General features: G+C 39.9%; 1 annotated feature.

The window, feature by feature from the left end:
* Window positions 728-1,507: an enhancer, noted in NCBI's record as "OCT4-NANOG-H3K4me1 hESC enhancer chr14:54449077-54449856 (GRCh37/hg19 assembly coordinates)". NCBI's record gives its function as "activates a minimal SCP1, AML or CMV promoter by ChIP-STARR-seq in primed H9 embryonic stem cells {active_cell/tissue: H9 hESC(primed)}" and the evidence as "EXISTENCE:reporter gene assay evidence [ECO:0000049][PMID:30033119]".

Here is a 10,498-nt window from a genome sequence, read left to right as displayed (position 1 = left end):
TCAGGCATGCCCAAGAAGGGTTTAGTGAAAGTTGGTGCAGCAATCATATTTAAGTAGAACCATTGAAACACACATTTATAACATCTTCACTAGTGTAGGTCTAGGTTTAATCATCCATAGCCCTGCTATCTTCAGTGAGCCTGCTCATGTGACTCTTCCTCAGTGAGCCTCTGGGACAAAACACAAGCAGCATGGAGGAGAGACTCACTTTAGGCATGTAGTCTTCAAACTGGGCTTTCTGTAATCACCTGTAAAATACTGAGACTAAAAGCAAAATGAAGCATTAGAAAATGTGTAGTTATTCTTCTCACCAAGTAGTAGAAATATTGAAAGAGGAAAAAAGGATGCTAACCTGCTAACTTGGAGAGAAAAAATATTTGGGTAGGCAGAAAAAGAAAAACATAAGACAGGTTGTTGGTGGCATAAAATATAAAATGTATGTACATTGCAACATGGTGTTTAAGCCCTCCAGCTCTGGATTCAGACTCCCTGGGATCAAAAACTGGTTCTACTGCTTACTAGCTGTGTTACCTTGGGTTTGTTACTTTAATCTCTCTCTGCCTCAATTTCCTCATCTGAGAAATGGGGATAATAACAGTGTTTATTATGCAGGGCTATTGTGAGGAATACATATACATATATTACATATAATGCATAGATATGTAGGAATAAATGTTCAAAAAAATTCAGTTGTGATTGTTTGTGCAACACTATTATAGAATTAAAACATGTTTGGGGTAGGTAGTTCAAGGCCCAAAGAAATGAGGCACAAATATGTTTACCCTCCTTTAAGATCCTGATCAAGTGCACTTTCCCAAACTTTCAAGAGAAAATCCTTCCCTCTTTCTAAACTTTGGGTAATTTACTGGTTTAACATTCATTACATTTTGAGTAGAGCATAGTTATTTGTATAGAAACATGTTGGAAACTCTTTGAGGGCAAGATAGGATCTCCTTCATCTTTCTCCATTCACTGTCCCTTACCTCATCCTGGCCTGGAAAAACAAATAGCACTTAGAATAGTGTGTGGAACTTAGCTGGCACTGAATACGGTAAATGTTTGTTAAATTGAACTGAACTGAATTGAAATGCAAAGACTGGGCCCACCTAGGAGAAAAAAGACTGAAAGAGCAAGAAGAAAACTGAGATTTTGCTACCATTTGTCATGCAGAAACAGGACTATCTCGCTTATATGTATTTGAATGAAAGGCACTCAACACTGTTGAGTTGTTGTGGCTGAAAGGTAACAAAAGCTTATTTGAGCCTGTTGGGGTGAGGTGGGTGCAAATAATCTTTTAGGAAATATAAAGTGGCCAGCCTTGTAACTTGTAGGAATCCTGGCCCCCAATTTTAGTAGGAGAGTCAAGCTCAGAGATCTCTGAGAAACTTTTTATAAAATACAGCTTGTGCAGCTTTACTTGTGCTAATTAATTAGTATGAGCTAAAGGCAAGTGTTCAACAGACTTTACTGTGATTCCCCAGTTCATGAAATTCATAGGGATCAAATTTGACAAGATTGTGTCTGACTTTGTTCTGTGGAAGCCTGAGCAAAGTCATAGAAACCAGATGCAATTAGTGGTACAGCCATAATCCAGCGAGTCTGACCCACGAGTGGTATTTGTCCTGCAGTATAAATACATTCATATGCACACACACACTCACAGTCTCTCTCAAACACATACATCCTCAGACACACACAATATTTCAAACACACACACACACACACCACATTATTTTAGTATGTAATAACTTCATTGATAGAGCTTTTGAGCAGTAACCACAGTGTTGGTATCTAGAAATTGGCTTCTGTCTTCCATAAAACACTTACCAGTACTGAGTGTTTTCATGTTTGGTGCCTCAACTTGTGGTTCTCACCTTTTCATTGTCTGTGAAGATCTCCTGTGAAGTGTTTAAAATGAAAATTCCTGGCCCCGCACCTTTAGAGATTCTGACCCAGCACATGTGGGGCACAGTCTGAGAATCTGCATTTGGCAGATAAAAGGCAATCCAGAACACTTTAGATTGAAAGACTTGTGGGTACTTTTTGAGGCCTAATAGGTCTACTACCTACATTGTAGCAATATTGAATCAATGAGACTGGTGAGATTTCAGTGGCTTTGGTAACTCCAACATAAAAGTCTAGCTGAAAGGCCAGGCATGGTGGCTCATGCCAGCATTTTGGGAGGCTGAGATGGGAGGACTGCTTGAGCCCAGGAGTTCGAGACCAGTCTGGGTAACATGGTGAGACCTCATCTCTACTAAAAAATTTAAAAAATTATCTGGGCATGGTGGCATGTGCCTGTAGTCCCAGCTACTCAGGAGGCTGACGTGGAATGATTGCTTGAGTTCAGGGGTGCGAAGCTGCAGTGAGCTAAGATGGCACCACTTCACTGCAGCCTGGGCAACAGAGTGAGACCTTATCTCAAATAAAAAAAAAAGAGAGAAAGAGAGAGAAAAAAGTCTAGCTGCAGCCTGTTCATCCTCCCCTGGGAGGCTCCAGCATGCTTCCCATGTCTACATCCTAAGAAGGGCTGTATTTAAGGGTGGGTCAGCCGCATAATTGTACCTGAAATGAGCAAACAGCTGACTCCCTTGTTCTAGGTGTTCACACATAGTATTGCATTTGATCTTGGCAGAGCAGACACTCAAACCCAAATGTCTTGATAATGCCAAACCCAGCATGTGTTTCCCTGAACCACAGCTGTCTTCAGCAGGTGACCAGGAGTTTCATAAAATGAAGTCTTTGTACCAGGTGATATTAAAAATATTTAGCAACCAGTAGAGCAGGTACAAGCCCAGTCAGAACTGATGCAGACGTATGAGCCCGGGGGTTGTTGGCTGAGTGTAGAAGAAGGTGCCCCTGCCCCACTCCAGTGACCCACCCACTGATAATGGCAAAGCACCCTTCAAGATGTTATCACATGGGACTCAGGCCCCTAATTAGGGGTGGGAGAGAGAAGCAGGACATCACCTGCTTCCACCCAACTTCCAGGACAAATGATAGTAATCAGAAAATAATGACCAAAACATGCAAGTTCATTCTTTTCTTGAGACAAGGTAAGGGGCTGAATTAGAAGATTAGTTCCCATAGGAATGGTGACAACTCCTCAGCCTGATCCCCTCCCCCTGCAAACTTCATGAACTAGCAAGTGTTCCTGTATTTATGAAGATAAATGGTCTGAGAATTTTATTTTATTTTTGAAACAGAGTCTTGCTCTGTCACTTAAACTGAGGTGCAGCGGCACGACCATGGCTCACTGCAGCCTCGAACTCCTGGCCTCAAGTGATCCACCTTGGCCTCCCAAAGTGCTGGGATCACACATGTGAGCCACTGTGCCCGGCCTGAATATTTTAAATCATGACTATTCTACAAATCTGTGACAAATGCTTGCGAAATCTCAGGCATCATTTGGTGGTCACTACTGTGCTTTTTAATTTCCTAACTAGAAGGAATTTTCCTTCCTTCTGGGGCTCAGATGCAAATTCATGGCATGAGATTGCTGGGAGGTCTAAAAGGGTGACTCATGAAATCCCAGCTAACCTCACAGTTTTGCCTGGCTCCAGCCCAGGTCAGCTGTCCTTGACCTTCTGTCAGGGCCTGGAAGAAGCCCCATGTGGAGTGCAGGTCGATTTTCTTTGAAGATTGCAGTTTAGAAAAAGCTCTGCTCAACTCCAGGCTTCCTCCTTTTATCTTCCTATCTTCACCTTTTTCAGCTGGTGGTTATATCTTACCTGTTCTCTACTGAATTTTCATACTTAATATTTAATCCTTTTAAATTTCACAATTCCTGATTCTGTATTTTCTTATTAAGGTGAACTTTCATCTTATCATAGCAGTTTCTAGCCTCCCTCTTTTCCTTTTTTTTTTTTTTTTTGTATAAACCATTTGAATGTAAAGCACTATTGTCATAAGTGCTCCATTTCTGACTTAAAATTTTTTGATTTCTGATTTCAAATCATGCCCTTCTGATGTAAAAGCCACACTGAATACAGCAATGTCTAATAACCATGCCCAAAAGGTATTTAATGTAATTGGAAAATATTTTATTATGGCTTCACTTCCCTAAAAACATTCCAACATCACTCATTCAAATAGCGAAAATAGAAGCTTGATCTTGGAATTAATTAGGGATTAACACGGAATCTTAATTTTAAATGTATCAAAGGAAAGAAAACAATTTAGACCCCAGTGTACATCAAAGGATAATTCTATCTGGCAACATACAATGGCCTTGCAGCAGCCTAATCTCTCACCACACCCTGATGCTTCCATAGCTACCGCACCACAGAAGCCACAACAACATCTTTAGTGCTGTTCCCTCACGAAAGGAATGCTTCCAAAGCACTGTGGCTGGGATTTGATTAATTACAGTTGTTTACAAACTCAGAGAAGCTGGTTATACACCAACACATTTCAAAATCTCCACTGACTCCACAAGTGACCTCTTTGGAAGTCATTGATAAGCAGCCTTCTGATAGCTGTTACTGAACACTGATCGAACCCTGAAGAGGATGCCAGCTTAGCCTCTGCCCTGCTTGCCCTCTCTGCAGTGGGAGAGGTTGGTAAGGCATGGGGCACTTGGCCAGAGGGATAAGTCAGAGGCCACAAACAAGGTGGGAGACAATTCAGAGTCCGACAGCCAGCTGCATTCAGGGTTCAAAGTGGTGTCAAATGTCAGCACTTTGCAGCAAGGAGATTCCTATGCACATAGCCTTTTCTGGTAGGCAGAGTCTCATGTGCATTTTTCTTCTTTTCACTTATTTGAAAACCTTGCACTGCAGAGCAAGGGATTATGCACTGAGAGTGTTTCATTTTCAAATGTTTTTGCAGAGGACTTTTGCCTTCCACCAACATTTCAATCATACACAGTAAGCTTCACTAGAAAAAAGTTTTTCATTTAAAATTAGAGTAAGCACCATAAAATCAAAAAGGATTCAGCATGCTTAATTCTAAGACAGAATTCTAAGTAAAGTAACCATCTTTTTTTAGAGATGAAGTTCTACCAAAACGCCATCATCCTAACCTTGAGTCAATCTGCTTATAATTTGAGACTTTGGTAGGAAAGTGGCATTTAGAACTTGAAGAGCTAAATTTTTACTTCATTAGGATACAGATGTTTTAAGTGTATCTTCCTTTTTGCCCACATTTACTAAAAGGCTATTCCTTCTTTTATTTCTTCTCCTTCTTCCTCCTACTCTTTCTTTTTCTGATAAATATAACAGATACAAAACTGTAAACTTGTCCTTGGTAGGACTCAATTGAATTGCCTCATCTCTAGTGTTGCTACTCTGAGTTTCCAAATACTAAACTTGAAGTGGCTTCCAATGAAGGATAGAATTTAGTTTCTCCTGGAAGCAGAATGAATATTGTGGAGAGTCTTTTTATCTTTATTTAAAAATACCTCTCTGGGACAACTTTCCCCTAACCGAGGACTAAAGCAATTGCTAGAGCTGTAAACAAGGCCAAATTCTCCACCTCTGTGGACAGCCAGTTCCAATGGGATTCCCCTAACACTGGAAATAAGTTTGTTTTTTTTTTTTCTTTTTAATCTCTAAGTGGAGTTTTTCCGCTTAAACTGATAAACAAAAATACGTTGTTGGTGAGTGTTTTCCTGAGTATAGTGTATCCCTCAAAGCATTTTTCCTAAGAGGGAAATGTTAAGCTCTTGATAAATGAAAAATAAACTTCTTGTTCTCAAAGATAAATTATTACAATGAGAACTTTCTTTAACCTTAAAAACCTAATACTGATGTTTGGCTTTGCACAGTAGAGTTTCTCTAAACTGTTGAATGCCTTCCATCTTCCTCAAACCTTGTTTTGGTAAAGGACAAGGGGAGCATCTCCAGTGGGTGAGTGATTTACCTTATCGTCCTTTTACTGTAGCCTCAGGGATCTTTAACTCTTTAAGCAACGGCATTCAAGTCTTAAGAACACCCAGAAGCATACCTCAGGCTTTAGACATTCTCAGCTGAAAAAAAAAAAAAAAAAAAAAAATTAAGGCCAGCTTGGGTATCAACAAAGCAGAAGAAGATGAAGCCGGTTGGTTCAATTCTGATAAACTGGCGATCTGCAAATCAGGTAAGCTGAACTGCAGACAAGTGCCCTTGCTTCTGCAGAGGCAGCTCTCCTCTTTCCTGGGCCTTGTACCTGGTGCATTCATTCTCTGGATATACTTAATGGCAAGAAAAGCTACAGATATGCTCTTTCCCCACTGCTGCGAGCAATGGGATTATTCTTTCACTTTTACAAACATTTTAAAATCACATCTTCTTACCTTTCCCTTGTGCGTCCAGAAGAGGTTATCTAAAACTGCATTGTAAGTGTCTCTAGGCTATGTCAAAAAAAGCTGGTAGAATCATCAGTTTTAAAGGGAATTTTTTTGGCCTACAATTTGTAGTCCTTGATTGAAATGAAATAATAGAAATAAGGAATGCTTGGCCTCTGAAATGACATCCGAGCCCCTTCCAAAGGAAAGCCTTCTCTTAAAAAAAAAAAAAAAGGAAAAAAGATTGTAGAAAAATACTCATAAGACTTGAAAGTCAGAATGCAGCTGTTCCTTTATTAAAACTTTGCAAATTGGTCTTATTTTAAACCCTTTTATTTAAGGCCAATATTTTATATTTATAATATGATAGAATAAAAAAACCCTAAGCTAAATTGGTAAATTGAAAAGATAATGGAAAATAAAAGATTTTGTTCAACCGTTTTTTCTTTTTTCACAAATTGCTGGAAGTGCTGCCTAGATAAAATTTAAAAAAAAAAAAATCTATCAAGTTAAAAAGCAAAAGTGTACCCGTATATGCCATTTAAACTTTAGTGAGACAGTTCTGATTTTTTTTTTTTTTTTTTTTTTTTTTTTTTTTGAGACGAAGTCTAGGCGCGATCTTGGCTCACTGCAAGCTCCGCCTCCCGGGTTCACGCCGTTCTTCTGTCTCAGCCTCTCTGAGTAGCTGGGACTACACGCGCGGCTAATTTTTTGTATTTTTAGTAGAGACAGGGTTTCACCGTAGTCTTGATCTCCTGACCTCGTGATCCGCCCGCCTTGGCCTCCCAAAGTGCTGGGATTACAAGCGTGAGCCACCGCGCCCAGCCAGTTCTGAATATTTTACTTCATGATATTTTTTTGTTTTCAAATCAAATGAGGTTTGTATGTAATATTAACTATGAAAAGAATGTAAAAAATAAAAAGAAAGGTTAGGAAGGCCAATATACCTAGAGTTAAGTGTTCCTTGACCTTAAGTGGTGTGATCATAGTTCATTTTTTTCTTTACTTTTTAAATTTTCAGTTTTTCAATTTTCTATAATAAGTACTTATTGCTTTTAAATTTTATTTAATTAAATTAATTTATTTATTTGAGACAGGGTTTTGCTCTGTTTCCCAGGCTGGAGTGCAGGGTGCAATCATAGCTCACTGCAGCCTTGAACTCCTCCTGGGCTCGAGTGATCTTCCTGCTTCAACCTCCGGAGTATCTGGGACAATAGGCATGGGCCACTGCACCCAGCCATTTTAACATTTTAATATAATTTTGTTTAAAGTATAAAAAGATTCTGATCATGTCTGTTTCATTCTTAGGTGGGTTTTTTTTGTTTGTTTATTTTTATTTTTTTTTTTTTTTTTTGAGACAGAGTCTCGCTCTGTCGCCCAGGCTGGAGTGCAGTGGTGCGACCTCGGCTCACTGCAACCTCCGCCTCCCCGGTTCAATTAATTCTCCTGCCTCAGCCTCCTGAGTAGCTGGGATTACAGGTGCCCGCCACCACACCTGGCTAATTTTTGTATTTTTAGTAGAGACGGGGTTTCTCCATGTTGGTCAGGCTGGTCTCAAACTCCTGACCTCAGGTGATCCACCCCCCTCAGCCTCCCAAAGTGCTGAGATTAAAGGCATGAGTTACCGCACCCAGCTCTTAGGTGTTTTAAGTATAAACTTTGTGACCCTGTTTCCCTTCTGTACCCCTCTGCTTATGTCTGGGCTGCATTTCTCCTTGGGTCGTTTTTTTCTCTTCTCACTTCTATCCTACCTGCTCTTTCTCCTTCTTCAGTCAGCATCACTTGCCTTGGAACTGAATTGTCTACTGAGCTCTGGGAAGCTTTATGAAAAAGAGGCCAGAGGAGGGAGACTGGCGTTGCCTGGGCCAAGGAAGCTCCTTAGAGATGAGGTCACAGAACATCAGAGCTGACGAGATGAGACCAACTGCCTCATTTTACAGATGAGGAAATGAAGATCAAAGCGTGGAGTGACTTGCTCAAGGTCATGCCCCCAGCTTGTGACAGAGTGGAAATGAGAACATGGCATTAGTCCTTGCAGCTTGAACTTTTGAAAGAGCAAAAATCCTGGGGTGAAGACCATGGAAAGCTGCAAACACAGATTTGTATTAAGAACATGCAGACGTCTAATGCGTGAAGTAGGAGGATTTTTCTAGAAATGTACTGCTCTGCAAATGTACCCCCACCTTAGATAGAGATATGAGCACAGAGAAATGTTTTGGCAAGAAATAGAACAGTGCCAAAGGAATGGAAAACAGTGACTGACCTGAGGCCTCAGCATCCCAGGACAAGACAGAACACAGGAGCATGGCCACCAGGTCTCAAGGGGGCCACTCCGGCTGGTTATGGCCACCTAAGAATTCAACCCTGGTAATATTACCAGGTTGTCCGATTTTAAAGAGAAGTGAGAAATTAAGGTTATTGTGTAAAATCCCCCAGTTTAGGAAAGCTGTGGCAGTAGATTGTGATCTGCTTGTTGAAACTTGCATGTAACACACCAGTCCTTGAGACGTATGAACCTGTACTCTGATGACTATTGAAGGACATACCTCTTGCCATGTACGAGAGGCTGGGTATATGTCCCCCTACTTCTCACCTCCACTTAGAAAAAAAGGCAACCCTCTCCTCCCCACAGAGCTTATTTATTCCTTCTGTATACCTAAACATTGATGAAACAGACTGCACCATTGCGTTCTTTTAAATTCAACTCTTAAGACATTGCTTTTTAAACGAGGACAATGAAGTTTCAGCTTGGCAACCTGACCTAGAAATGATTATCAAAATTAGAGGTATAATGCTTCTTTATATGGTTCTATTTTCTCCAAAGAGTATTTTTTTAATAAGTCAGAAGGGAAAAGTTAATTAAAAAAATTCAGAAGGCAAATCGAACGATATGTTTATTTGAAGAGTCAGATCAGTCATCAGGTAGTTTAAGAAGCCACTGGCAAAATGGAAAGAACTTCAGTTACGGAGTCACCAAACCCGTTAAATCCCAGTTTTGCTACTCATCCTTCATCTCTGTTAAATGAGTATAGTATAATTCCTATATATCAGGGTATTGTAAAGCTTAATGATAAGTTTTGGGACACATGGTGGATTGTGAATAAAAGGTAGTCATGGCTTATATGGTGACTTTACCTCATGTGCACCACCCACCATCAGATTAAGTGAGCTGTGGGGAACCCTAGTGAACATTCAAATCCACATGTGTTCATGAGAACGAACCAACCTGAGGTAGACACACAGCTGAGTTTGTCTTTGTTTCTCCTGTTGGCCACCTCTGCAGAGCACCACACAACCATGTGGGATTGTTTGAGACCTGTATAAATTCTGTGAGATAAGTTTGAGTTTTGGTTGGTTTTGTTTGGGGTGTTTAAAAAAGAATCAGTGTTTGAATTTTTGGAGTCGTTTATAAATTCAGTTGCTTTTGCATCTTTCAAATTTTTTAAAAAAGAATATACATCATTTTGTGTTTTTTTTCCCCGAAAAGAAGCACAAGAATAACCCTTTAGAATAAACTTGGGTCTTGTTCCTAAGATTATGACACCTTTACTAGCGCTTTGCACACAGCAAATACTCAATAAACACTTGTTATATGTGATTAAATGCCCAGCCTTCCTGAAAAATGGCCATGGCATAACAGAATCTGATGAAATAGTAGAAGACATATTGCATTGAGTGAAGCTACCTTACCCTCCAGAATTAAGGGAAATGTCAGCATCTTCAGGGTTAATTTTGTAAATTCTTTAACAAGTTTTAGTTAAATATTAAAATTAAAATTTTAATTTTCCCAGTCTACTAATAGTTTGTCATTGTTATGGTTTTGCAACATTTGAATTTACAATTTACTATGTATCCTAGCTTAATTTAAGAGTTTTTCTTCTTTTTTTGAGAAACACTATTAAGACTGACTGAAGATCCATGCTCCAATCTTCCTCCAGGGCTGCCCACCACTGGTGTCTGCTCTGAGCTCCATTGTCTCTGGCCCGGACTATTGCAGTTTGCTTCCAGTTGGGCTTCCAGTCTCATGCAATCTACTCATGCACAGGACTGCAGTCTTTCTGAAATGCCAATCTAATCCTGGCTTGAGACCTACTGGATAACAAGAGCTAACACTTATTGTGCTTGGCGTTGTGTAAAGCAGTCATTATCTCATTTAATCCTAATAACAATCCCATGAGATAATTCCCATTTTACAGAGAAGCAAAGGGAGGCTCAGAGAGGTTAAGTAAATTG

The sequence above is a fragment of the Homo sapiens genome, chromosome 14 (assembly GCF_000001405.40).
Source record: "Homo sapiens chromosome 14, GRCh38.p14 Primary Assembly".
Classification (NCBI taxonomy): Eukaryota; Metazoa; Chordata; class Mammalia; order Primates; family Hominidae; genus Homo; species Homo sapiens.
Note: the sequence above shows the minus strand (reverse complement) of the source record. Positions and strands in the feature narration are given on the sequence as shown.